This window comes from Homo sapiens, chromosome 17 (assembly GCF_000001405.40).
Source record: "Homo sapiens chromosome 17, GRCh38.p14 Primary Assembly".
Lineage (NCBI taxonomy): Eukaryota > Metazoa > Chordata > Mammalia > Primates > Hominidae > Homo > Homo sapiens.
Genome location: NC_000017.11, coordinates 829,343 through 856,913, shown reverse-complemented (window position 1 = coordinate 856,913; position 27,571 = coordinate 829,343). Strand labels below are relative to the sequence as shown.

The 27,571-nt window shown below is 51.6% G+C and overlaps 1 protein-coding gene and 1 long non-coding RNA gene across 7 annotated transcripts in view, besides 7 other annotated features; both read left to right on the top strand.

Moving 5' to 3' along the window:
- NXN (nucleoredoxin) overlaps positions 1–27,571 on the top strand; it is a 180,467-nt gene that overhangs the window by 122,863 nt on the left and 30,033 nt on the right. The window lies entirely within an intron of this gene.
- On the top strand, positions 3,894–10,429 carry LOC124903894 (uncharacterized). Its single transcript, XR_007065574.1, has 2 exons — positions 3,894–6,728; positions 9,845–10,429. It is a non-coding gene; the product is annotated as an uncharacterized LOC124903894 (long non-coding RNA).
- Positions 4,756–5,256: an enhancer, noted in NCBI's record as "H3K4me1 hESC enhancer chr17:754898-755398 (GRCh37/hg19 assembly coordinates)". NCBI's record gives its function as "activates a minimal SCP1, AML or CMV promoter by ChIP-STARR-seq in primed H9 embryonic stem cells {active_cell/tissue: H9 hESC(primed)}" and the evidence as "EXISTENCE:reporter gene assay evidence [ECO:0000049][PMID:30033119]".
- Positions 5,912–6,486: an enhancer, noted in NCBI's record as "H3K4me1 hESC enhancer chr17:753668-754242 (GRCh37/hg19 assembly coordinates)". NCBI's record gives its function as "activates a minimal SCP1, AML or CMV promoter by ChIP-STARR-seq in naive H9 embryonic stem cells {active_cell/tissue: H9 hESC(naive)}" and the evidence as "EXISTENCE:reporter gene assay evidence [ECO:0000049][PMID:30033119]".
- Positions 13,116–14,101: an enhancer, noted in NCBI's record as "H3K4me1 hESC enhancer chr17:746053-747038 (GRCh37/hg19 assembly coordinates)". NCBI's record gives its function as "activates a minimal SCP1, AML or CMV promoter by ChIP-STARR-seq in naive H9 embryonic stem cells {active_cell/tissue: H9 hESC(naive)}" and the evidence as "EXISTENCE:reporter gene assay evidence [ECO:0000049][PMID:30033119]".
- Positions 15,371–15,665: a silencer, noted in NCBI's record as "tiled region #9814; HepG2 Repressive non-DNase unmatched - State 19:H4K20, and K562 Repressive non-DNase unmatched - State 21:Repr". NCBI's record gives its function as "represses a minimal TATA promoter and a strong SV40 promoter by Sharpr-MPRA in HepG2 and K562 cells {active_cell/tissue: HepG2 | K562}" and the evidence as "EXISTENCE:reporter gene assay evidence [ECO:0000049][PMID:27701403]".
- Positions 15,371–15,911: a biological region, named in NCBI's record as "Sharpr-MPRA regulatory region 9814".
- Positions 15,398–15,911: an enhancer, noted in NCBI's record as "H3K27ac-H3K4me1 hESC enhancer chr17:744243-744756 (GRCh37/hg19 assembly coordinates)". NCBI's record gives its function as "activates a minimal SCP1, AML or CMV promoter by ChIP-STARR-seq in primed H9 embryonic stem cells {active_cell/tissue: H9 hESC(primed)}" and the evidence as "EXISTENCE:reporter gene assay evidence [ECO:0000049][PMID:30033119]".
- Positions 22,632–23,372: an enhancer, noted in NCBI's record as "H3K27ac-H3K4me1 hESC enhancer chr17:736782-737522 (GRCh37/hg19 assembly coordinates)". NCBI's record gives its function as "activates a minimal SCP1, AML or CMV promoter by ChIP-STARR-seq in naive H9 embryonic stem cells {active_cell/tissue: H9 hESC(naive)}" and the evidence as "EXISTENCE:reporter gene assay evidence [ECO:0000049][PMID:30033119]".

Genomic DNA, 27,571 nt, shown 5'->3' with positions numbered 1-27,571 from the left:
TGAACAGAATGTGAAAGGCAGTTCCGGGGAGGGCTCAGAAAGAAAAGAGGAGAGCTGTAGAGAAAGCCTCAGCTGTCTTGGAGAAAACCTAGGCAGTGTGAACAGGATACTGGTAGAAATGTGAACAGTAGGCTGGGCGTGGCCGGCGGCTCACTCCTGTAATCCCGGCACTTTGGGAGGAGGATCACCTGTGGCCAGGAGTTCAAGACCAGCCTGACCAACATGGAGAAACCCCGTCTCTACTAAAAATAGGAAATTAGCTGAGCATGGTGGTGGGTGCCTGTAATCCCAGCTACTCGGGAGGCTGAGGCAGGAGACTCACTTGAACCCGGGAGGCGGAGGTTGCGGTGAGCCGAGATTGCACCACTGCACTCCAGCCTGGGCGACAGAGCAAGACTCAGTCTCAAAAAAAAAAAAAAAAAAAAAGACAAGTACTTAGCAAGACCAGTGGAGCCCTACTTTATCCACAGACTCCCGTTGTAAAGCATGCCCTGCAGTGACTTAAGACTCATCTCCTAGCGGAAGACATCCAGCCAGAGTCCCAGAGGGAAAGACCTCCATGAGCAAGTTTTCCTGTGGAGTTTGTTTTGTGTTTGCAGAGGCTTTGACTTTAGAATGTCCGTCTCCTCTTACTCAGGGTTTTAGGCTTTTTCTGTCCTCGGCCATGATGCAAAATATTTTTGGCAAATGCAAGGAGAGATCAGACCCTCTTTTTTTTTTTTGAGACGGAGTCTCACTTTGTTGCCAGGCTGGAGTGCAGTGGCGCGACCTTGGCTCACTGCAACCTCCACCTCCCGGGTTCAAGCGATTCTCCTGCCTCAGCCTCCAGAGTAGCTGGGATTATAGGCGTGTGCCACCACGCCCAGCTAATTTTTATATTTTTAGTAGAGACAGGGTTTCACCATGTTGGCCAGGATGGTCTTGATCTCCTGACCTCGTGATCTGCCCGTCTAGGCCTCCCAAAGTGCTGGGATTACAGGTGCGAGCCACGGCACCCGGCCTAGATTGGACCCTCTTATCTTCATCTCCCCCAGGGGCCGGCTGTGGAGTTGCCTGTCCCATGACAGGAATCATTTTCTGCTGGTTTTGATTGAGTTCCCTGGCACACTGGATAGAGTTTGTTGTAACACACACATTCCTCCTGCCAAGGTACACAGAGTCTTTAGACTCAGAGGCTTGTTTTATGATTTTTTCCCCTAAACTTAATTTATTCTACATATCCCATGGCAGAGCTAAACATTTGTGGGTATCTGGCTGCCAGAACTGGTGGATCAGATGGGACCTTGCCTGTACTTGCTGGAGAATGGGAGGACTGCTTCCTTCTGGGGTGTATTTTCAGAGAGAGAGAGTTCTGCTAATTCAAACAAAACTTTTCAACAAACCTGTTCGTGAATAGAACTTAAGAGATAAATCTGGGGGAAATTTTACCCACATTTTGATCCTGGGGAGCAGTCAAGTTTTTACTAGCCGCAAAGAAGATATCTTGGATTGGGTGGAAAACATTTACTTCCCTCTGCTTGTAACCCTGAGCAAAGCTGTCCTGGAGCCCCTTGGGCGCTATCAGACCCGGGGGATTCAAAGGCTGCCTCTCTTCTTATTCTTTGTTAGTATATGAGAATTATTTATGTATTTATTTGAGATAACGTCTCGCTCTGTAGCTCAAGCTGGAATGCAGTGGCGTGATCAGAGCTCACTGCAGCCTCAAAAACTCCTAGGCTCAAGTGATCCTCCCTTCTCAGCCTCCCAGTTATCTGGGACTACCGGTTTGCTCCACCACACCCAGCTAATGTTTTACTTTTTGTAGAGATGGGGTCTTGCTATGTTGCCCAGGCTGGTCTCAAACTCTTGTGCTCAATTGACCCTCCCGCCTTGGCCTCCCAAAGTGCTTGTAGTTATAGGTGTGAGCCTCTGCACTCAGCTTCTATATAAAAAATTTTAAAGTCTTTTTTTTTTTTGAGACGGAGTCTCACTCTGTTGCCCAGGCTGGAGTGCAGTAGTGTGATCTTGGCTCACTGCAACCTCCGCCTCCTGGGTTCAAGCAATTCTCCTGCCTCAGTCTCCCGAGTAGCTGGAACTACAGGTGCCTGCGGCCACATCCAGCTAATTTTTGTATTTTTAGTAGAGACGGGGTTTCACCATGTTGGCTAGGCTGGTCTCAAATTCCTTACCTCAGGTGATCCATCTTCCTCGGCCTCCCAAAGTGCTGGGATTACAGGCGTGAGCCACCGTGCCCGGCTGCAATTTTTTTTTTTTTTTTTTGAGACAGAGTCTCGCTCTGTCGCCCAGGCTGGAGTGCAGTGGTGCAATCTCAGCTCACTGCAAGCTCCTCCTCTCGGGTTCATGCCATTCTCCTGCCTCAGCCTCCCAAGTAGCTGGGACTACAGGTGCCCGCCACCACGCCTGGCTAATTTTTTGTATTTTTTTTTTTTAGTAGAGACAGGGTTTCACCGTGTTAGCCAGGATGGTCTCAGTCTCCTGACCTTGTGATCCGCCCGCCTCAGCCTCCCAAAGTGCTGGGATGACAGGCGTGAGCCACCGCTCCCGGCTGAAATTTTAAACTCTTAAATCTCCACTCAGGTGAGCAGGTGGGATCGTTCTATATCTGTCTAACTGAAAAATATTCTAGCGGCAGGATCTTTCCTTCGAAGTACCTGCTTTCAGGTGTCCAGAAAACCTTAGTGAGAAGAGCGAGTACGGTGGGAAGCGGGAATTAGAAGCAGCTATTCCAGATTCATTCGTTTAATCCACAGATATTTTTACTGCAAGCCTACTTTGTGCCATGCCTGATGCCAGAAGCAGAGTGAGCTAAGTATCTCCCTGGCCTCGTGGAGCTTTGTAGTCCAGTGGGGGGACACACATGATTCAACAAGTCACACAACTACAGAATGGAAATTGGCCGGGCGCAGTGGCTCACGCCTGTTATCCCAGCACTTTGGGAGGCCGAGGTGGGTGGATCAGGAGGTCAGGAGATCAAGACCATCCTGGCTAACATGGAGAAACCCCGTGTCTAATAAAAATGCAAAACTTAGCCGTGTGGTGGCGGGTGCCTGTAATCCCAGCTACTTGGGAGGCTGGGGCAGGAGAATCACTTGAACCCGGGGAGGCAGAGGTTGCAGTGAGCCGAGATCGCACCACTGCACTCCAGCCTGGGCGACAGAGTGAGACTCCGTCTTGGAAAAAAAAAAAAAAATATATATATATATATATATATGTGTATAACAGAAATAGTGAGAAGTACTGTAAAGGAAGAGTACTAGGGCTTGGACATGTATACAGCACCTGGTCTAAACTTGGGAGGGAGGTCCTGGGCAGAGAAGGCTCCCCCGAAGAGCTGATGTTTGACCTCATATCTGCAGGGTGAGGAAGAATTAGCTGGGGCGAGGGACACACAGTAAGGACAGAGGGACACCCTGTGGGAAAGAGACTTCAGTGGGCCTGAGTTACCTGAGAGCTTTCTTTTTTCTTTTAGGCAGAGTCTCACTCTGTCAGCCAGGTTAGAAGGCAGTGGCGTGATCTCGGCTCACTGTAACATGCGCCTCCCAGGTTCAAGCGATTCTCCTGCCTCCACCTCCCGAGTAGCTGGGACTACAGGCGTGCGTGCACCACCACACCCGGCTAATTTTTGTATTTTTGGTAGAGACGAGGTTTCACCGTGCTGGCCAGGCTGGTCTCAAACTCCTGACCTCAGGTGATCCACGCCTCCCAAAGTACCGGGATTCCAGGCGTGAGCCACCGTGCCCGGCTGGGAATTTTCTTAACATTTATGTTTTTAGCCGGGCATGGTGGTGGGCGCCTGTGGTCCCAACTACTCAGGAGGCTGAAGCAGGAGAATCGCTTGAACCCAGGGGGTGGAGCTTGCAGTGAGCTGAGATTGCGCCATTGCACTCCAGCCTGGGTGATAAAGTGAGACTCTGTCTCAAAAAAAAAAAGAAAAAATTTACACTTTAGGTCTCATCCCCTGGGTCAGATCCAGTGGGTCAGAGGTGGGGCCTGGAAATCTGCATGAGTCCCTGGGACTCTGAGGTGTCCTGGGGAAATAGGCATCCTGGGGAAACAGTGGTCCTGAGGAAATGCTGCATTAAACACTTCTGGTCAAGCTCTTTCTTCCCAATTTGCGATTTGTGCTGGAGGGAGCTCCAGGCCTCCTTTGTAAGGACAGGACGGTTAGGCTTGGCATACGCATAATCCCAACCGTGCAGGGGGACCTGGCCCCACTCTATAGCCCGGGCTGACTCAGAGAGCAGACGGGGGTCCTGCCTCCCTCCTCCACCCACCCAGCCCTACTTTCTGCTCCATATCCGCTTCCAGGAGCCCCGTATCCAAATCCAACACCAACTCGGAGCTCTGGGAGCTGGAAAGGAAAGGAAGTGTTGGGTTTTCTTTTTTCCCCTCCCCTGAAATTTTCTGGACGTCAGTATGGACATTCAGAGGCAAGTCTGTCTACATAATCCATCCTGACTTTTTCTGGAGGTAGAAAGGAGAGAGAAAACAGGGTTGAGTTTGGGGAGCAAGATGCCAGCTGTGGGCACGGGGGGTCCCAGGGATCCTGTGGCCCACGTCCTGGTCAGTGGGGAGCTTAATGAGGTTCCCTGCTGGAGACGCCCCGACTGAGGCTGTGGCTGAGGCTGAGGCTGAGGCTGTGGCTGAGGCAGGTTCTCGCTGATGGGACTTGTGAGGAGGTGTCATCCGGATGCCCCCGGATGGCAGAAGAGCTGGGACTAAGCCAGCAGGGATTGCTGTTTGGCCAAGAGCCTTCTAGAGGCTGCGGGGCCTTGGCCGGCATGCAGGGATAAGCCAGGGCCACAGGATTCTAGCTCCCTTTTCTCACTGCTGCCTCCGTTGGCACAGGACCTGAGGGATTAGGGTGGCAGGGCCGTTCCTGAGACTGGCGCCCCTAATTGAGCTACAGCGTGCTTTTTCCAGCTTTTTCCACTCTCCATTTCAAGTCTCTGGTTAGATCAGGAGAAAGTCTCGCTGTGGCGCCATCTTTAAACCACTGGAAAACTTGCTAATCTCCCTTCCATAGAGAAAGCCGACCTCCGCTTTCCGCAGGCAACGCGAGACAGATCACTTGTAATAATGGCTTGTTCTTTGTTCTTTTCATTTTGACACTTAGCCTCTATTTATGGCGAGTGGTGCTGGTTCTCCACTTACAATAGCAATATAAAGTTTCCTTTCAAAATAATTTTTTGAAGGAGTCTATTCAAAGCAAAATAAGTAAATAAGCATCGGAGTGAGGAGGGCGCAAATTGTAAATGATACATGTGGACGCCTGAGCTTGGAAACTGGGTGCTGGGAGCAGCCATCTGGATTTCACATCTGGCTTCATCATAGCAAGCCTATGAGGCAAGCACTGGTTTCTCCCAGTGTGCAGCGGAAGTAGCTTCTCAAAGAGGTGAAGGGATGTTCCCAGCCTGGCTGACTTTGCCACCCTGCTCTTTCCACCTGCCCTTTCTTGTGGCCGGCGGACACAGTGACCTCAGATTCATTCTGTAGCCCCTCAGCCCCTCTGCTTCCCGTCCCCCGCTCATGCCTTCTAAGCATCTTCTCTCCCGTCTGCAGCCCAAGGCTGCCCCTGGGAGCAGGCAGAGGCTTGCGCTGTCTTTTGTCCTGGCGTCTTCATTTCAGCCGGGGAACTTTGGGTGGAGCTGGAGCCAAGTGGCAAGCGGAGCTCAGGCTTGCTGGGCCCCGGCCTCCCCACCGCATCCCCCGGCTTTTGGACACAGACCTTTCTCTGGGTGGTCTGGAGACCAGGTTGAAACGTGTTGATGTTTAGCAGTTCGGTTCTGCTAAACGTTGACAGGATTATCATGCTCTTTAAAGCGGTCAGCCTGTCCCAGGAAGCTGTGCTCCCGACGGAGAAGCTGTTTGTGTGTGGTTTCTGTTCCGAAGGCCTCAGCAGTTTTAAGTTTCCTAAGCAAGTGAGTAGTGGCATCGTCCGGGTCTGATTCACTGGGACGTTTCTGTCCTGGAGGAGAAGGTCAAGTCTCGTTGCCGCCTCAGAAACTCCACCCTCTGCCCGTCTTGGTTCTGTGGCACTGGCGGCATCTGGAACCAGCACACACCTGGCCGGGGAGTGTCCGCCAACGGCAGCCCCCTCATTGAACTGCCTTTGAAAACTAAAGTTGGGGAAGATGTACTGTGCCTGCTTCTGAATATCATGTGTGTGATTCTACCTCGGGAGTGTGCTCTAAGGGACGTGTGGCCATTCATCTTGTCTGCAGAAGAAACCTCCCGCCTTCGTCCCTCCTGACTCAGCTCCCGGGGCCCCCACGCCGCCCCCCTGGAGAGAGCGAGTGAGCAAAACTGGGTGCCCCCCAGCCCCACTGGAGACAGTGAGCTTGCAAAACCTTCCCAGAGGAAGAGCCCTACTTTGGGAACTCACAAAATGGCATTTCTTGGCAAGTTTGTGAGTTTGCTCACGGCCACCTTCCTTGGACCCACAGGTCGGAGCAGTGGACTGACTTTTCTCATGTCCACACACATGTGAAACGTTTGTGTATCTTAGGCTCCCACTTAAGAAATGGGCTGCTGGCTGCAGGAAGCAGGAGGTCCGGGAAGCTCATTTGCTCCCTTGTCTGAAGGCATCATCTTGCTCCTTCCTCTGCGTACCTCGTACCTCGTGGGAGCAGGAGCAGGTGTCTCCTCCCCAGGCCCTGGGGCTCGTGGGGAAGACAGAAGAATGATCCGTGAGAAAGGGATTTGAAAGGGCTGAGAGCGTCCGTCAGGTGATTTTGCTTTTCTTTTTCTGGCGTTCTAAGCAGTGAGGATTTAGTGATGTGCTTGGACTCTCCACGCACACACACAGACCCACGTACCTGTCTTAGTTAGGAGTTGTTTACGAGGAGCAGAAATGGACTCCAGCTGCCTTAGGTGGATTGAGTTAGACTCTCCGAACACAGTCCTTCATCACAGGGGCCTCCAGATGCAGGAACGGCACCCAGCTGGGATGCGGAGGGACCAGCCTGGGGTTTCAGGAGCAGGTCGCTCTCGGGCTCCTTGGGGGCTCTGCAGCTTCTCTCGTTCGCTCCTCTCTGACTCTGGTGTCTCTCCTGCCCCTCCTTATCTGTCCTCCTCTCCGTCAGCTCCATTTCTCTCTGCTGTCCCTGGCCCAGCAAGGCGACCCCTGCCTGCCCTTGACGTGAGTTTATGGTTCTCACCTCCACTGTCAGCTCTTCAGCACTCCTCTACCTGCTCTGCATCCTGCCACGTTTAGGAAATGATGATTGCTTGTCTGCGGAGGTAAAGGGATGAGGCAGCTGGCCGCCAGAGGACAAGGACGTGGAGGGAGGGAAGAGGGAGTCCAGCGGCCCCTGAGGCTGAGAGGGCCAGTGCGGTGCCCTCCTGGAGCCTGCTCCTAGCACGCTGGTTGGGAAGCTCCCATCTTTTTTTTTTGTCTGTCGTCCAGGATGGAGTGCAGTGGTGCGATCTCAGCTCACTGCAACCTCCGCCTCCCAGGTTCAAGCAATTCTTCTGCCTCAGCCTCCTGAGTAGCTGGGATTACAGGTACCTGCCACCACGCCCAGCTAATTTTTGTATTTTTAGTAGAGATGAGATTTCACCCTGTTTGCCAGGGTGGTCTCTAACTCCTGACCTCAGGTGACCCACCTGTCTCGGCCTCCCAAAGTGCTGGGATTACAGGCGTGAGCCACTGCGCCCAGCTGGGAAGCTCTGGTCTTAGTGAATCCGTCTTTGTATCCACTTTCTGAACTTCCAGGAGAGAGCGTGATTGGTCTTAGATCAAGCGTGCACACCCACCATGATTGCCTGCCGTGGAACAAAGGGTGTGGGTGGGGTGGGGACTGCCGTCCCAGGGGAGGGTCTAGAGAGGAAGCCGGAGCCTGTTACATACCAGACAGGCTCCCTTCCTTTCTCGAAGGCGAAGACCTTTGTCTTGATCTGACCCCATACCGTCTGGCACAAATGCCTGGTAGGTTTGAGATGCTCAATAAGTGTTTATTGATGAAAAAGGACCAGGCACATGTGTGGTATGGAGCCGACGTCCTGCTGAGCAGTGGATAGGTACTTGGCCTATCCAGAAAAACCTCCGTCATCTCCACCACCCCTGGCGATCTGTCCTCAGACCACACTTCAGCCTCTCTGTCTGATGCATCTGACATCCAGGGCCATTCCTGCTGCTGTCCGCTTTCTTGTTAGCTTCTGAATCTGCAAACAGAGAAGGTAACCAGGAGGCAAGCTGCCTGTGTCTCTCAGTAGGAGGCATTTGGAACCAATCGTGTGGTGGCCCCTTTGAGTTCGCTGTTTGGAAGTAAAGTGACATGCACGAATACTGACTGCATTGTAAAAATGGCTTTCCGGCCAGAGCCTTGGACTTTGTGTTTTGATGGAAACGCCCATCTAAATTTCCTGCTTTATTTTTTCTTAATGACCAGGCACGAACCTGGCAAATGCTACTATTTTTTAAATCCTGCTCGTGTTAAGCCGTAGCAGTACCTTTTAGAGACAAGAAATCAGCTGGGCGCAGTGGCTCACGCCTGTAATCCCAACACTTTGGGAGGCTGAGGCGGGCAGATCACCTGAGGTCAGGAGTTTGAGCCCAGCCCTGGCCAACATGGTGAAACCCTGTCTCTCCTAAAAATACAAAGAAATTAGCCGGGCGTGGTGGTGGGTGCCTATAATCCCAGATACTCAGGAGGCTGAGGTAGGAGAATTGCTTGAAGCCAGGAGGCAGAAGTTGCAGTGAGCCGAGATCGTGCCATTGCACTCCAGCGTGGGCGACACGGCAGGACTCCGTCTCAAAAAAAAAACAAAACAGGAAATCAACGTTCAGTAATTGGAAATGAATCGTCAGGGGTTGACGTCCTCCTGAGGGTGTCAGGGACCACAGAGAACCTCTGCTTAATTCGTAGTGTTTCATCTTCGATCCTTCACTCGCCCCGTTTTGTAACAACTTTATGTAGCAGAAAGAGAGACGAGAATTGATGTTGGTCTGGAAGAAGTGGGGAACGTGATACTTTGTTCTGTATTTACTCCTATATTTATTTCTTTATTGGGCTTGTAGCTGTTTTTTCTTATTCTACATCAATCACTTGGATGCATAAATTCAAAGACATATGTTTGCGGGTCTCACACATCTGTCTTGAATTTCATCTTTTCCACCCTGTCTTCTACTTTCCAAACAATTTACCTCCCCTCTCTCTCTCTCCCTGCTGTTACTTATTTCATTGTGTGACGGAACCCTTTCATTTCAGGAGCTGGTGGAGGGAAAGAATGCAAGCCACAGTCCGTTTCTATATAAAGGCATCTTTGGTACTGGGTGGTCACAGTTTCTTAGTGTCGGACACGATTCCTTTTGCTGTGGACGTGGCTGGTCCGTGGCAGTGGGGCTGAGGCTGTTTGCAGAGCTGTGGACACGCCTGGCTTGCCGGATTCCCAGTGAGGTGACATTACCGCTGTGGACCGGTCCAGGCCAATTTAGAGAAAGCCTTCACGTGCCAGGCTCCGTGCAGAACGGTCCCTTCTGACTTTTTTCTTTGATCTCTTTTTCCAGGCTGGGAGTTTCTCACATCATTGTAAATATTTCCTCTCCCCTCCTTGTCATTTGGCCCAGGGCTCAGTGGGGACTTCCTGAAGCAGGAAAGTGATCAACACGGGGTTTATAACTGGGCACTGGAAAGTTCTGCCAAGAAACAGAGCTTTCCACGCAGCCGAGAAGGGAAAAAAAAAAAGCCCTTGTGAAATAACAATCAAATAGGAAATTGAGAAGGGAGCTGTGCCGAGTGCTAGTGGCTCCGCGGGGGGACAGGTACGGACGGTGCCGAGATGACAAACATCTCCGTGGTTCCCACCAACCACACTTCCTGCTCTTCTGTTCATTTTGCAGAGCGGACACGGAAAAGCTCACCCTGCCGACTTGGAATTTATAATAGCATTTGGGGCGGTAGGCGCTACGTAGTCACATTCCTCATCTACCAGAAGCTGCGGAAAGTTTCGAGATGATTTGACTATGTGGGATATGATGAGGTTTCTCTTCAAATAATCTGATCAATCTTTTATTCTTTAATTCATTGTACCCCTCCACCCCCACCATTTTTCTCCTTTTTTCTCCTTTTCCCTTCTCGCCTTTGTTAAGTGCCCAGCATGCCACAGTACCAAGCGTTATCAGTACCAGCTCACATTCCTTTCCTTATTTAAAGAAAGACTAACTTTCTGGCTCATTACAGACACCCCTTCCCCTTTCCCTCCACTTTTCTTTAACGTACCCACCCTATCTAAAAAAAAATCAAATGTTTATCCAACTGGGATTAGTTTATATTATAAGACCCGACTCCGGCCAATAAAAAAAGGGTACAGGGGCAGGACTTGTGTCAGGAATGAAGGCTTTTGTGCCCCTTTGTTCAGGTGTGCTCTCATGGCGACTGGCCAAAGGGGCACCCCTCTGTGCAAAAATAAAACTGCTTTGCTAAAAGTCCTTTGTTCGTGTGTTCAATTTCCTTAAAATTTTTTTTCTTTTTTCTTTTCTTTTTTTTTTTTTTTTTTGAGACAATTTCTCTCTGTCGCCAGGCTGGAGTGCAGTGGCACGATCTTGGCTCACTGCAACTTCCACCTCCCGGGTTCACGCAATTCCCTGCCTCAGCCTCCCGAGCAGCTGGGATTACAGGCGCCCACCACCACAGCTAATTTTAGTAATTTTAGTAGAGATGGGGTTGTCTTGGCCAGGCTGGTCTTGAACTCCTGACCTTGTGATCCACCTGCCTTGGCCTCCCAAAGTGCTGGGATTATAGGCACAAGCCACCGTGCCTGGCAATTTCCTTAAAATTGTGAGCATTATTCCTAACACCTAATTTTTAAAACCTTATTTATTTATTTATGAGATGCAGTCTCGCTCTGTCCCCCAGGCTGGAGTGCAGTGGTGTGATCTCGGCTCACTGCAACCTCCGCCTCCCAGGCTCAAGTGATTCTCTGGCCTCCAAGCAATTCTCCCGCCTCAGCCTCTCGAGTAGCTGGGATTACAGGCATGAGCCACCACACCCGGCTAATTTTTGTATTTTTAGTAGAGACGGGGTTTTGCCATGTTGGCCAGGCTGGTCTCAAATTCCTGACCGCCTGGCCTCCTCCTCGGCCTCCCGAAGTGTTGGGATTACAGGCGTGAGCCGCCACACCCGGCGTATTTGCCTGGTTTCTTTTCTGCTGAGGAACCATGACAAATGTGTGAAAATGGAATATCCGCCTGCCTATGGCTCAGGCTGTGTCTCCAGGTCAAATGTGAGGAGCTGGTAGCACACATCAGCATCCAGCTGATTGGCCTGACTGTCATCATCAGCATCCCCATTTATTGAGTATCTCTCACGTGTAAGGCACTGAAGATACAAAGTGGTCTAAGATGTAGACCCTGAAGGGCCTCGTCTTATGAGGGAGAGGTGAGATGGTCTTTGGATGTCCAGCCTGTAAGGGTGATGATGGTAGGATTCTAGAAGGGTGGAATTCTCTCTCTGATGTTGAGTCCCTAAAGGTGATGACGGTAGGATTCTAGAAGGGTGGAATTCTCTCTCGGATGTTGAGTCCATAAGGGTGATGACGGTAGGATTCTAGAAGGGTAGAATTCTCTCTTGGATGTTGAGTCCCTAAGGGTGATGATGGTAGGATTTTAGAAGGGTGGAATTCTCTCTCGGATGTTGAGTCTGTAAGGGTGATTGATGATGGTAGGATTCTAGAAGGGTGGAATTCTCTCTAGAAGGGTGGAATTCTCTCTAGAAGGGTGGAATTCTCTCTCACTCTCAATTCAGTGGATCACCTCCCGTGTTCCCATAGTTTATGAAGTTGACCTTTCTCACTGGAGCTTCTCACTGTAGCAGCTGGTCCTAGGAGTTCTCTCCCGTGCTGTGAGTCTGTGCTGGACGTGTCAGTCAAGTGCTATGTTGGAAATTACTAGAAAATCAGCCTGGAGCTCTGGGGTGCTGGGATGAGCCCTGGTGTCCTGTCCTCGGGCACCTGCACTGACCCTGTCTCCTGGGGGTAGGTCTGTTTTCAGGCATCTTGGCATGGATTTTTGTTTTCATTAAAAAAAACAGGCTGGGTGCAGTGGCTCATGCCTGTAATCCCAGCACTTTGGGAGGCCGAGGCGGGCAGATCACAAGGTCAAGAGCTTGAGACCAGCCTGGGCAACATGATGAAACCCTGTCTCTACTAAAAATACCAAAATTAGCCGGGTATGGTGGCAGGTGCCTGTAATCCCAGCTCCTCAGGAGGCTGAGGCAGGAGAATCGCTTGAACCTGGGAGGCGGAGGTTGTAGTGAGCCAAGATCGCACCACTGCACTCCAGCCTGGGTGACAGAAGGAGACTCCATCTCAAAAAAAAGAAAAAAAAGAAAAGAAAAAAAGAAACCTTGTACGTAGAAACCTACCATATATTTGTATTTTTTGCAAAGTCCTTTCATTGGCCTTCACATGCGATCGCCTCATAGCTTGTTCCGAGCCACAGGAGTGGATGGGCTGGGGTTAGGGTGAACTGGTGACATCTCCCACCTTCCAGCTAAGGAGGGCAGGACGGGACGTGTGATGGCCTGGTCTCCACCTTCCAGCTAAGGAGGGCAGGACGGGACGTATGATGGCCTGGTCTCCACCTTCCAGCTAAGGAGGGCAGGACGGGACGTGTGATGGCCTGGCCGCCACCTTCCAGCTAAGGATGGGTGGGACGGGACGTAGGATGGCCTGGTCTCCCACCTTCCAGTTAAGGAGAGGCAGGATGGGACGTAGGATGGCCTGGTCTCCACCTTCCAGCTAAGGAGGGCAGGACGGGATGTATGATGGCCTGGTCTCCACCTTCCAGTTAAGGAGAGGCAGGACGGCACGTAGAATGGCCTGGTCTCCACCGCCTGGTCTCCACCTTCCAGCTAAGGAGGGGCGGGACGGGACGTATGATGGCCTGGACAGGCGTGTTTTTGCAGCAGATTCCCCAAAGCGACAGGGAATGACCGTTTTCCCTCCACGGAGTCCTCATTCCTATGCCTCCTTTCTTCCTTGTTCTTTTTTCTTAGTCTCACGGGTTCTGGAAAGATCTGGAGTGAAAACGTTCAGATTTGTTTCTCTTTGTGAATGAACTTAACATTCTGGGTCGAACCCGTGTGATGGCCCATCTCCCAAAGACGCTGCAGGTCAGGGTCCCAACGTTCACGTCGAAAGGTGCTACTCAGAGTGAGCGTGGCACATCTGAGCTCTTTCCTAGTAATGTCAGCAGGGAGATCCACAAGGCTGCAAGCCACAGAAACCCTATCCCCCACTAGAAGTGACTGCCTCTGGGATGGGGTCCCTTTGACTCCAGATCGACGCTGGCTCCTCACTCCCCCTCCTATGCAAACTCCCAGCCGCTTCTTAAGATCTCTCCTGAGCACATATGGCCCTAGCCTGTTATTACCAGCCACCCGCTTGCTGTCCCAAACCACTCTGCCCAGTGGAGGCTTTCATACCAGATGGGGCTTTAGGAAATCCCTTCTGTCAGCTTGCGAGAGCTGCAGCATGGGGGAAACAGCCTTTCCCTCCGTCTGTGGTGTCGGCCAGAAAGAGCCTGGCAGCCATATGCCGTTTGTGCTCCCAGCTAACTGCTCATCTCCTGGCTCGCGGAGCCATGAGGGCAGGAAGTCGAATGGCACAGTCAATGAACCTCCTTAATTGGTGTTACAGATGAGATCGCGTTCCCTGTGTCGGGGAACCGGACTCCCCACGCCAGCAGCCAACGGGCGTCATTAAATACTTTGCGTTCGGCACATTTGAAAGGGTGAGAAGTAAACATCAGTGTGTTTGTCTCTTCATTCGTGGCCATTATTTTAACCTCAGTTATTTGTTGTTGTTCATTGACTTCAGTCTGAAGGTGCAGCTTGCTTGCTTGCTTTCTTCCTTCTTTCTTTCTTTCTTTCTTTCTTTCTTTCTTTCTTTCTTTCTTTCTTTCTCTCTTTCTCTCTTTCTCTCTTTCTCTCTTTCTCTCTTTCTCTCTTTCTTTCTTTCCTTTCTTTTTTTGAGACGGAATTTTGCTCTTGTTGCCCAGGCTGGAGTGCAATGGCGCGATCTCGGCTTACCGCAACCTCCGCCTCCCAGGTTCAAGCAATTCTCCTGCCCCAGCCTCCCGAGCAGCTGAGATTACAGGCGTGTGCAACCACGCCCAGCTAATTTTTGTATTTTTGGTAGAGACGGGGGTTTCACCATATTGGCTGGGCTGGTCTTGAACTCCTGACCTCAGGTGATCCACCCGCCTCAGCCTCCCAAAGTGCTGGGATTACAGGCATGAGCCACTGCACCCTGCCCTGAAGGTGCACTTTCTGAACGGAAGTTTAGTAGCCAAGTTGCCTGGGGAGTGACTCCTGGAAGGAGGAGGAGACGGGCCCCCACGTGTCTCGGGATGTGCCGTAGGTGCCTCTGGTTGGCGTCTTCGAAGGTGGGTTGCATGTGAGACGCGGCCCCGTGTTCATCCTTCATCCTCCCCAGTAACCCACGTGGCCTTCCCCGCCGGGATCACGGAACTGCAGCCCACAGCCGGACCCGGGCTCCCGGCCATGTGCAGCACTGCATTTCCATTTCTTAGCCTTTCATGCTTCACCTGTGTGGCCACCAGCGGCTCCCCTGTGTCTCTGGGCTTTCTGGTTGGAACTAGCGACTGTTTCTGTATAAAATTCTGCCATCTCCCATTTTGAAAAAGAAGGGCCCACAGATCAGTGCTAGCCGGGAAAATGTCTTTCTTTCCTTGATGAAGTGGCGGGTTTAACTGGAAGGATGTCGAGCAGGTTTAATTGGAAGGGTGTCGAGCAGGTTTTTTGTTTTGTTTTTGAGAGGGAGTCTCTCTCTGTCGCCCAGGCTGGAGTGCAATGGCGGGATCTCAGCTCACTGCAACCTCTGCCTCCCAGGTTCAAGCGATTCTCCTGCCGCAGCCTCCTGAGTTGCTGGGGTTACAGACATGCGCCACCACACCCGGCTCATTTTTGCCTTTTTGGTAGAGACAGATTTCACCATGTTGACCAGGCTGGCCTCCAACTCCTGAGCTCAGGTGATCCGCCCACCTCGGCCTCCCAAAGTGCTGGGATTACAGACGTGAGCCGCCGTGCGCCACCTAGAGCAGGTGTAATTGGAAGGATGTAGAACAGGTTTAATCAGAAGGATTGCTGCTTTTGTCCAGTTTGTGCCTTTGCCGCACCCAGAGCCACTGCTGGAAGTGGACACTCCTGGGCTCTCCCTTTCCTTTGTCAGGGTGGACCTGCTCACCGGCGTGAGATGTGCCATGGTCAGGGTGGACCTGCTCGCCGGCGTGAGATGCGCTGTGGTCAGGGTGGACCTGCTTGCCCGTGTGAGATGCTCTGTGGTCGGGGGGACCTGCTCGCCGGCGTGAGATGCTCCGTGGTCAGGGGGGACCTGCTCGCCGGCGTGAGATGCTCCATGGTCGGGGGGACCTGCTCGCCCGTGTGAGATGCGCCGTGGTCAGGGGGGACCTGCTCGCCCGTGTGAGATGCGCCGTGGTCAGGGGGACCTGCTCGCCCGTGTGAGATGCGCCGTGGTCAGGGGGGACCTGCTCGCCGGCGTGAGATGCACCGTGTGTGGGCTGCTCTGGGTCCCAGCCCTGGCAGGGTTGGCGGCACCAGGATGGTCTCATCACCATCTAGTCCAGTGCTGCCTCTTTGACGCCCCTGCAGCGTGAGGGCCGCATGCGGGGCCTGTTGCCCTGGCATGGACTTTCTGAAGTAGCATCTGGAAGGGCCCACATGAGAAGTATTCACGTGTGAGTGCTAACTGTGAGCCAGGGATGTTTCCAAGCCCTTCGTGCCTACGATCTATCCACACAGTAACCCTAGCAGGGAGGTGCCCCCCAGACCATTCTGCAGCTGAAGAGAGTGAGGTGTGGGGAGACTAAGTCATTTACCCAAAGTGGCAGAGCCGGGATTCGAACCCAAGCCATCTGCTCCTGTGCCGGCACTCTCACCCTACACTCTGCCTCCCGCCGCCGTGCGGTGGAGGAGTGGGGGCTGCCAGAACACAGCGGCCCCCTTGGAGAAAGGCTTGTGGGGGCAGTGGTTGTTTTGTGTTCACCCTAAGAGAAGCTTGGTGTGCCGTCCTTTATCCTGGGAGTCGTCTGTGTGTTTGACAGCATTTGGAGCAACAGGTTAGGATGGAAGCCGGCTTGCCATGGACACACATCTCTCAGATAAAGAGAGAAAAGGAGGACACAGCCGATCGGATCCTCTGCCTGTCACGCTAGCAGCAAAGTGATTTCTGTTGTAAAAGAGTATCTCGCCGGTGAAGTGAGGCTCTTAAGACGTAAGAAGTCTGCACGCCGGCCGGGCGCGGTGGCTCACGCCTGTAATCCCAGCACTTTGGGAGGCCCAGGCGGGCGGATCACGAGGTCAGGAGATCAAGACCATCCTGGCTAACATGGTGAAACCCTGTCTCTACTAAAAATACAAAAAATTAGCTGTGCGTGGTGGCAGGCGCCTGTAGTCCCAGCTACCTGGGAGGCTGAGGCAGGAGAATGGTGTGAACCCGGGAGGTGGAGCTTGCAATGAGCCGAGATGGCGCCACTTCACCCCAGCCTGGGCGGCAGAGCGAGACTCCGTCTCAAGAAAAAAAAAAAGAAGTCTCTGCACACCAGGCTGAGAGTAACCGGCATTTCCTGTGTACAGTTGTCCCCTGGTCCTTCTATCTGGAGGTATCCCAAGTTGATAGGAGACCTAAGAAGTCATTTCCCCATTCTCCCTCCACCAGAATGGGAGCCTGCTGCTGGCATGGGTGCTAAATGGGGGTTACAGGGAACATCATATTTTTCCATTTATGGTCCAGTAGAAATGGTAATATTCTCTCTCTCTCTCTTTTTTTTTTTTTTGAGACAGTCTCGCTCTGTCGCCCACGCTGGAGTGCAGTGGCACGATCTCAGCTCACTGCAACCTCCACCTCTTGGGTTAAAGCAATTCTCCTGCCTTAGCCTCCCAAGTAGCTGGGATTACAGGCACCTGTCTCCTTGCCCAGCTAATTGTTGTATGTTTAATAGAGACGGGGTTTCACCATGTTGGCCAGGCTGGTCTCGAACTCCTGACCTCAGGTAATCTGCCCGCCTCGGCCTCCCAAAGTGCTGGGATTATAGGTGTGAGCCACCGTGCCTGGCCTTTTTTTTTTTTTTTTTAACAAGGTCTCTCTGTCGCCAGGCTGGAGTGCAGTGGCACCATCACGATTCACTGCAGCCTTGACCACACCAGGTTCAGGTGATCCTCCTGCCTCAACCTCCTGCGTAGCTGGGACTACAGATGTGTGCCACCATGCCAGGCTAATTTTTTTTTAGAGATGAGATTTCACCATGTTGCCCAGGGGTCTCGAACTCCTGAGCTCAAGTGACCCACCCACCTTGGCCTCCCAAAGTGCTGAAGTTACAGGCGTGAGCTGCCGTGCATACCTGGCACTTTTTCTTTTCAGATATCCTCCTCCTCATTATTTCTAGCATGTATTTGAACACTTCCTATGTTTTATTTTATTTTAAATTTATTTTTTGAGACAGAGTTTCACTCTGGTTGCCCGGGCTGGAGTGCAGTGGTGTGACCTCGGCTCACTGCAACCTCCGCCTCCCAGGTTCAAGCGATTCTCCTGTCTCAGCCTCCCGAGTAGCTGGGATTACAGGCACCTGCCACCAAGACCAGCTAATTTTTGTATTTTTAGGAGAGATGGGGTTTCACCATGTTGGCCACACTGGTCTTGAACTCCTGACCTCAAGTGATCCGCCCGCCTCGGCCTCCCAAAATGCTGGGATTCCAGGCGTGAGCCACCGCGTCCGGCCTGACGCTCACTATGAACCAAGCAGTGTTGTCAGCACCGCACGTGCATTAATCCAGTTCTCACAGCAACAGGACGAAGCAGTGTTGTTATTATCCTCATTTTACTCATGAGGAAAGTGACACTCCGAGAGGTGTGTGGCTGGAGTTCCCCTGGTGGTTCATAGCAGAGCGGGGATTTGAACCCAGGCAGCCTGGCTCCAGAACCACATTCTCCACCGTTTGATCTATCCCACACGGCCTCCAGCAAACACAGGTATCGACTGAAGATTTCACTGACCAGTGAGGACCAAACTCAACCCGGAACGGTGGGTTCTTGGAGCGGCCCCCGTTTGGAAGGGAGGCAGCTGTAGGGCGGATGTTTGAGATAGTTCAGTGTGTTTGAAGATTCAGGGCCCTCCTGGCAGCTCTAGTCAACCAGAATGCAGCCACTCTTCCTCCTGGGCCTTCTTTTGCTCATTTCTCCTGGCAGTTGGCCTGATCTGCCATATGTGGTTGTTGCTTCATATTTTTATATTGTGGCCAAATATATGTAACGTAAAGTTTACCATTTTCACCGTTTCCCACTTCTAAACTGTAAGGTTTTTGAAAGCCGACTCGGCGTCTCACCACTTTCATCCCTGTGGCACTTTGATTAGAGTGTTGTAAGTCACAGCTGATTCAGCTCTGTCGGGTTGCAAAGCCCAGCTAGGTCATCTGTAAATTGGTTAGAAAATTCACTGTTATGGCCGGGCGCGGTGGCTCACGCCTGTAATCCCAGCTTCTGGGGAGGCCGAGGTGGGCGGATCACCTGAGGTCAGGAGTTTGAGACCAGCCTGGCCAAGATGGTGAGACCCCGTCTCAACTAAAAATACGAAAATGAGCCGGGTGTGGTGGTGGGCACCTGTAATCCCAGCTACTCGGGAGGCGGAGGCAGAAGAATTGCTTGAACCCAGGAGGCAGAGGTTGTGGTGAGCAGAGATCGAGCCACTGCACTCCAGCCTGGGCGACAGAGCGAGACTCCATCTCAAAAAAAAAAAAAAAAAAAAAAAGAAGGAAAGGAAAATTCAGTGTTCTGAGATTTAGAGAGATGAAAAATAGATTTTAAATCCCCTTCTACCCAGTCTTTTTATTTTAATGCAGCCTGGCGTGGCAGAGAAGGACCCAGAAAGAACGTGTGCGGCATATATCATGCTCGGTGGCTTTGTCTGCAGGAATCAGAGTGGACATGTTGTTTTGTGAACCTCACGCTCTTGCCATCCTTGGGGCATGCATAGGTCCTCTCTGTGAACCAGCTGAAAACATGTAGCATCAAAATGGCAGAGCCACCAGGAGGGTTTGGAATTCTCATAGGTTGGTGACGGCTCGGATCAGCCTGGCCCGGACCCCCGGCCCCTTTCCCTTGGTCACACGGGCTGGTCTGTTCTCTGCTTCAGCTCCAGGCGAAGGCAGAATGCGCAGGTGGGGAGGGTACAGGATCTAAGGCACCATCGGGCAAAGCGAGAGAAGCTCTGATCCCACCAGCGCTGGATTCGAATCATTTCTTCTGCCATTTCAGGAGCATTCTGGGCCCCCCAGGAACAAGGGGGAGCCGTGGTCATGAAAAAGCCATTAAGTAGCTGAGCTGGACTGATTAGGGGGCATCTGTTCTGGCTGACCTAGGACGGTGATTCCTCTCTCCCTTCCTCTGTTCATTTGTTGTTCATCTATCATTTATTGGACACATAATGTGCCCAGGCACTGCTCTTGGCCAGCAGGTATACTAGGCTCTGAGGATTGCAGTCATGGGCCAAATCACACACTGGGAATCATGCCTCAGGAGCAAGGGGATCCAAGACTGGGCCTTACCTCTGGGGATATGAGGACAAGGTCCTGCTGGAGCATTTAGAAGATGGCATGGGGGCTGAACACAGTGGCTTACACCTGTAGCCCCAGCACTTTGGGAGTCTGAGATGGGAGGAACGCTTGAGCTCAGGAGTTTGAGACCAGCCTGGGGCACATAGCGAGACGCTGTTGCCACAAAACATCAAAAAATTAGTGAGGCATGGTGGTGTGCGACCGTAGTCCCAGCTCCTCGGAGGCTGAGGTGGGGGGATCACGTGAGCCCGGGTGGTGGAGGCTGCAGTGAGCTATGATTGTGTCACTGCTCTCCAGCCTGGGCGACAGAGCAAGACTCTGGGTCTAGAAAATAATAATAATAATAATAATAATAATAGCAACTAAGCTAGGTGTGGTGGCTCACGCTTGTAATCCCAGCACTCTGGGAGGCTGAGGTGGGAGGATGGCTTGAGCCCGGGAGGTGGAGGCTGCAGTGAGCCATGATTTTGCCTGGGCCACAGAATGAGACCCATTGTCTGTGTCAGCGCCTTAGCTTAAAGCAACTAACACTTATTTCATACCTAATATTGGCCAGTCTTTATGCTAAGCGCTCTATGTAACTCATGTTCACAGCAGTTCAGTGAGGTGTAGGTTCTGTTATCTACATTTTGCAGCTGAGGAAGCCAAGAGACGGTGAGATACCTCACCAGGGTCACCCACTAATAAGCGGCTGGAACAGATGGAAGAGCCGGGCTCTGGAGCCGGAACCTGTGCTGAGTAACCTCAGTGTTCGTCCTGGTGTGACATTGGAGGCTGGGATGAGGGGGATTCCTGCTCTCAGTGTATATCATGGTGTTTGGTCATTTGGGGTTAGAAAGGGTGAGAGCACATTTAGGGCTCTGTTTTCAAATGCTGCTCACAGAAAGGATGGTTTTGATTGTGGTCGGCATTTGGCTGGAGGGCAGGGGTGACGTTTGCCCGAGAAGGCTTGGCTGACCTGGCCAAGGAGTTTGCGGATGAATCCTACATCTGCGTTGGCTTTGCCTTGATCCCACAGATTTGCAGCAGCTGTTGGAAAGAAAAGCTGAGGCTCCCCAGTCAAGAGCAAGACCTGGTCCTTAGCATGCGGGGGCAGATTCCATGTTGCTCTCGGGAACTGGGACTTCTCGGAAATCACCAGGCTGCATTTCCCTGCGGCCTCTGTGGGGGCTGATGAATCCCACCGGTGTTTTTCCCCTGCGGCCTCTGTGGGGGCTGACGAATCCCACCGGTGTTTTTTCCCCGCGGCCTCTGTGGGGGCTGACGAATCCCACCGGTGTTTTTCCCCTGCGGCCTCTGTGGGGGCTGACGAATCCCACCGGTGTTTTTTCCCTGCGGCCTCTATGAGGCTGACGAATCCCACCGGTGTTTTTCCCCTGCGGCCTCTATGAGGCTGACGAATCCCACCGGTGTTTTTCCCCTGCGGCCTCTGTGGGGGCTGACGAATCCCACCGGTGTTTTTTCCCTGCGGCCTCTATGAGGCTGACGAATCCCACCGGTGTTTTTCCCCTGCGGCCTCTATGAGGCTGACGAATCCCACCGGTGTTTTTCCCCTGCGGCCTCTGTGGGGGCTGACGAATCCCACCGGTGTTTTTTCCCTGCGGCCTCTATGAGGCTGACGAATCCCACCGGTGTTTCAGATTTGCTGGACTTTCTCGTTGGCATTTTTACCGTTTCCCGGTTCCCAGTCCCGTCCCTTTTGATATGTGTTTCATTGTTTTGTTGGTCACTGTAGAAGCGTTTCTGGCCTGCATTCCTAGGATAGTTCCAACCACAGCCTTGGAGTCTTTCAGCAGAACCCACTGCCAGGCGGAGCAGTGGGAACTTTCAAGTAACTGGATAACCCACTTTGTCATCCGTTTCCATTTTTGCCAAGTTGAGCTAATCTTGTCTCCTCTTTGTTTTTTTTCTTTGTTCTCTGTGGCCTGGCTTCTGAATTTGATGAACTAATCATAAACAGTAGAGTTGTAGGCGTTGGGGGTTTGCTATGACGTTTTCTTTTTTTTTTTTTTTTGAAACAGAGTCTCGGTCTGTCTTCCAGGCTGGAGTGCAGTGGCACGATCTCAGCTCACTGCAAGCTCCGCCTCCTGGGTTCACGCCATTCTCCTGCCTCAGCCTCCCGAGTAGCTGGGAGTACAGGCACCCGTCACCACACCCGGCTAATTTTTTGTATTTTTAGTAGAGACAGGGTTTCACCATGTTAGCCAGGATGGTCTCGATCTCCTGACCTTGTGATCCGCCCGCCTCGGCCTCCCAAAGTGCTGGGATTACGGGCGTGAGCCACCGCGCCAGGCCTGCTGTGACGTTTTCTGTTGGCATTGTGTGGCCTTTGGGTGGCTGTGGTAGAAGACCATTCAGCAAGGGATCATGAGAATGCACCCTGGGGCCAGGCGTGGTGGCTCACGCCTGTCATCTCAGCACTTTGGGAGGGTGAGGTCAGGAGTTTGAGACCAGCCCAGCCAACATGGTGAAACCCTGTCTCTACTAAAAGTACAAAAATTAGCCAGACACAGTGGCTCACACATGTAATCCCAGCACTTTGGGAGGCCAAGGCGGGCAGATCACTTGAGGTCAGGAGGTTCGAGACCAGCGTGCCCAACGTGGTGAAACCCCATCTCTACTAAAAATACAAAATTAGGTCGGGCGTGGTGGTGGGCGCCTGTAATCCCAGCACTTTGGGAGGCCAAGGTGGGCGGATCATAAGGTCAGGAGGTTTGAATCTCTACTAAAAATACAAAAATTAGCCAGGCATGGTGGTTGGTGCCTGTAATTCCAGCTACTCAGGAGGCTGAGGCAGGAGAATCACTTAAACCCAGGAGGTGGAGGTTGCAGTGAGCTGAGATCGCACCATTGCACTCCAGCCTGGGCAACAGAGCAAGACTAACAAAATGCACCCTGGGTGGATACGTTGCCAGGATGATCTCTAGACAGAGCAAACACTGGATGTAAAGTCATCTGGTCTTTCCCAGCTGCTGCAATGCCAGACAGTGCAGCCCTTTTGAGACAGGGTCTTGCCCCGTCACTCATGCTGGGGTGCAGTGACACGATCACAGCTCATCGTAGCCTTGACCTCCCATGCTCAAAGCATCCTCTTACCTCAGCCTCTTAAGCAGCTGGAGCTACAGGAGTGGCCACCACGCCTGGCTAATTTTTGTATTTTTTTGTGGAGTGATAGGGTTTTACCATGTTGTCCAGGCTGGTCTTGAACTCCTGGGCTCAAGCGATCCACCCGCCTCGTCCCCCCAGAGTGCTGGGATTCCAGGCGTGAGCCACCGCACCTGGCCCTGAGAAATGCTTTTTTAAAAAGGACAGTGAGTTCTCTCAGTCCTGGGTGGCTCTGATGTTCGCCATCCTGAAGGCATGAGCTCTGCCTGAGTTTAGGAACACAGCGACAGTGGGAGAGCGGGGAGAGTGAGATTTTTTTTTCTTTTTTAATCACCCGCTCTTCACTGTTAACGTCATCTTAGGTTTTCGGCAGATCCTGACTACATTGGAGGAATGTTTACAGCAGGATACAGATGGGGCAGGATTATCTCTCTCTCAGTTGAATCAAGGTCAAGACGTGCACTGACATGAACTCTTAAGACAGGGAGGTCTTCATTTGGGGTCTGTAGACCTCCCGTGATCAGTTTCCGCTAACAGGCTTCAGGGGGATTTATGAACTCTGTGAATTTATACACTGACTTTTTGCTGTATGTGCCTTTTTCTCTGCTGAAAGATCCATAGCTTTTGTCCTCAAAACTGTCTGTGACCCAAAAATGACTATGAAACCGCTGTTTTCAGAGGCATTTTGAAAACCTTTGGTGGACTCGAGGGGCCCCTCACACTTGAAAGGGTGCAGAGGTGAATCTTGCTGATCATTTCTTTAAGCTGAAGCATTTTTTGGTTTCCGGGCTGCGTAAGTGAATCCGCAAGTCACTCCTGGATGACTTCTCTGACAGAAGGGTCGCCTTCTGATTCGTGTGTTTTTCGGAATGGTGACTCCCGTGCAGACCACATTGTTTCAGAGCCGAGTAACCTTCATGCTTTGGGTGGCCTGAGGCGCCCACAGATGCAGCTCCCTAATGAATGACATGGGTTCCTGGATAAATTAGACCACGATGGCTTTGTCTGTAAAAGAAATAACTTTTCGGCCGGGTGCGGTGGCTCATGCCTGTAATCCCAGCATTTTGGGAGGCTGAGGTGGGCGGATCACGAGGTCAGGAGGTCGAGACCATCCTGGCTGACACGGTAAAACCCCGTCTCTACTAAAAAATACAAAAAATTAGCTGGGCGTGGTGGCAGGTGCCTGTAGTCCCAGCTACTCGGGAGGCTGAGGCAGGAGAATGGTGTGAACCCAGGAGGCGGAGCTTGCAGTGAACTGAGATCGCGCCACTGCACTCCAGCCTGGGGGACAGCGAGACTCCGTCTCAAAGAAACAAATAAAAAGCGTCAGATGTGAGTCTAGAAGGAAATTTTTTCCCCACTAACCCAGCGTGGGCCTTTACGTGGAAACAAAGACCCAACAGTAAATGGATAAAACACAAGCAGAGACCTCCTGTGCTCCTGAGATGCAACCAGAAAGGAACGGGGAATCTTTAGGGAGGGAGGGAAGATGCAGGTTACAGTTTCTTACCCATCCAGAGAGGATTCCGAGAGGAAAGACATGTCTGTGGAGACTGGGGGCAGGGCAGGGAGAGGTGTTACAACTCTTCTACTCACATAAGAGTTTCAGAAGAAACTGGTTCTTCTTTAGCTGGCAAGGTTTGGGAGATGGCGTTTCTCCTGAGCATTTAGAGGGTAGAGGCTGTTCAGGTACCAAAACCCCACCACCATTTCCTTAAAAATTCCTGGCTGAGGCTGGGCATGGTGGCTCACGCCTGTCATCCCAGCACTTTGGGAGGCCAAGGCGGGCGGACACGAGGTCAGGAGATCGAGACCATCCTGGCTAACAAGGTGAAACCCCGTCTCTACTAAAAAAAAAAAAAATACAAAATAGTAGCTGGGTGTGGTGGCGGGCACCTGTAGTCCCAGCTACTCAGGAGGCTGAGGCAGGAGAATGGTGTGAACCTGGGAGGCGGAGCTTGCAGTGAGCCGAGATCGCGCCACTGCACTCCAGCCTGGGTGACAGAGCGAGACTCCATCTCAAAAAAGAAAAAAAAATTCCTGGCTAAGAGCAAAGCACATGCTTACGTTTGAAGGGTAATAGGGGTGCTTAAATGCAAACCACTCTAATAATCATGTTGCATCTGCTAGCTTTACATTTGAGGACCACAGGCTGAAATTTACTTCAGGCAACAGTCCAGCTACCCACAGAGAGATTCCTGTTACAAGGTGGCATTTGCTTGTGGGAGCCCCAAGCCCCACAGAACATAAGATCCTAGTGATCCCTTAATAATACATGTGAGTAAGGAGGATCTCTTCTAAGAAGGCAAGGATAGTTTAATCTTAGACTGGACACTCATGAAATATACCACAACAGGTTCAAAGAATAATCAGTAGCCATCCATTCCTGATAAAATTTTGATCAAAAAGTTATGGAAGGCCAGGCGCAGTGGGTCATGCCTATAATCCCAGCACTTTGGGAGGCCAAGGTGCTTGGATCACCTGAGGTCAGGAGTTCCAAACCAGCCTGGCCAACAGGGTGAATCCGGTTCTCTAATAAAAATACAAAAATTAGCCAGGTGTGGTGGCGAATGCCTGTAATCGCAGCTACTCAGGAGGCTGAAGCATGAGAATTGCTTGAACCTGGGAGGTGGAGGTTGCAATGAGGGGAGGTTGCAGTGAGCGGAGGTTGCAGTGAGCTGAGATTGTGTCACTGCACTGCCTGGGTGACAGAGCAAGACTCCATCTCAAAATAATAAATAAATAAATAAATAAATAAATGAATAAATAAAGTCGGCCCTCAGTATCTGTGTGGCGGGGGGACTGGTTCCAAGACCCACCTCCCCAGTGCTCAAGTCCTTGATATAAAATGGCATAGTTTTTGCATATAACCTATATACATCCTCTTGTATACTTCAGACTTGTGGAGTTTTTTTTTTAATGGAGAACTGGGTCTCACTATGTTGCCCAGGCTGGTCTTGAAGTCCTGGGCTCGGGTGATCCGCTCCCCCTTGCCTCCCTAAGTGCTGGGATTACAGGTGTGATCCACGGCACCCAGCCAAGGGGCAACTACATTGAAAAGTCAGCTGTTTTTATAACCTGGCCCTTTTCCATTTGTGATCTAGGTCTCGCCCTTTTTCCTGTTCAAGCACATTGTTCTTGCAGTTTTCGCTCTCAAATTTCTTTTCTGGAGTAACCCAATCAGCATAGGTTAGAGCATGTTTTTTTTTTTTTTTTGAGACGGAGTTTCGCTCTTGTTGCCCAGGCTGGAGTGCAATAGCTCAGTCTCGGCTCACAGCAACCTCCGCCTCCCGGGTTCAAGTGATTCTCCTGCCTCAGCCCTCTGAGTAGCTGGGATTACAGGTGCCTGCCACCATGCCTGGTTAATTTTATATTTTTAGTAGAGATGGGCTTTCACCGTGTTGGCCAGGCTGTTGTCGAACTCCTGACCTCAGATGATCTGCCCACCTTGGCCTCCCAAACTGCTGGGATTACAGGCGTGAGCCATCGTGCCCGGCCCCAAATGGCCTTTTAAACTGTGAATCAGGTCACGTCATTCCCTGTGACCTGTTATTTTTGCTGTCGTCCACGGGGCCTTGACGATGTGGTTCACAAATCTTATGATGATCTCTGACCTCATCACAGCCGCCGCCCCTGGTTCTCTCATCTACTCAGACTTTCGCAGTCAGCCTCCACACGGGCTCTTGGGCCTCAGGTGGCCTCCCGCGGCGTGCCTGTGGCTTGTTCCATTTCCTTGCTGAGGTCTGTGCCCAAATGTCATTCCTCCCGGACGCCTGTCTCTGGAATCCACGCTGCCATCCCAGCTTCCCAGTTGCAGCCGTGATCTTACCCGCCCTGTTTTCTTTCTGTTACTTCTCGGTGTCTGAAATGAGTTTCCTGTTTATATTCTTGTTTATTGTCTGCCTCTCCCACTGGAGGAGGAGCCCCACGAGGGTAGCAGCCTCATCTGCTCTTAACTGAATCTCTTGTGCTTAGAACGAGCCTGGCACACAGTGGGCGCTCACTTAATATCTGCTGAATCACTTTCAGCTCTTACCAGTTACAAAACATAGCGGGGAAAGCACAGGGTGCTGACAACAGCGTATCTCCTACACATCAGTAAGTCAAAGATAAGCAACTTTGACACTGTTGGTGGGAGGGTCAATTAGTTCAACCATTGTGGAGGACAGTGTGGTGATTCCTCAGGGATCTAGAACCAAAAACACCATTTGACCCAGCAATCCCATTACTGGGTGTATACCCAAAGGATTGTAAATCATTCTTCTGTAAAGACACATGCACACGTATGTTTATTGCAGCACTGTTTACGATAGCAAAGACTTGGAACCAACCCAAATGCCCATCAATGATAGACTGGATAAAGAAAATGTGGCACATATACACCATGGAATACTATACAGCCATAAAAAAGAATGAGTTCATGTCCTTTGCAGGGACATGGATGAAGCTGGAAGACATCATTCTCAGCAAACTAACACAGCAACAGAAAACCAAACACTGCATGTTCTCACTCATAAATGGGAGTTGAACAATGAAAACACGTGGACACAGGGAGGGGAACATCACACACTGGGGCCTGTTGGCAGGTGGGGGCCTAGGGGAGGGATAGCATTAGGAGAAATACCTAATGCATGCGGGGCTTAAAACCTTGATGACAGGTTGATGGGTGCAGCAAACTACCATGGCACATGTATTCCTACGTAACAAACCTGCACATTCTGCACATGTATCCCAGAACTTTAAAAAAAAAAAAAAAAAGATAGTCCGAGCACGGTGGCTCACACCTGTAATCCCAGCACTTTGGGAGGCCGAGGTGGGCGGATCACCTGAGGTCAGGAGTTCGAGACCAACCTGGCCAATGTGGTGAAACCCGA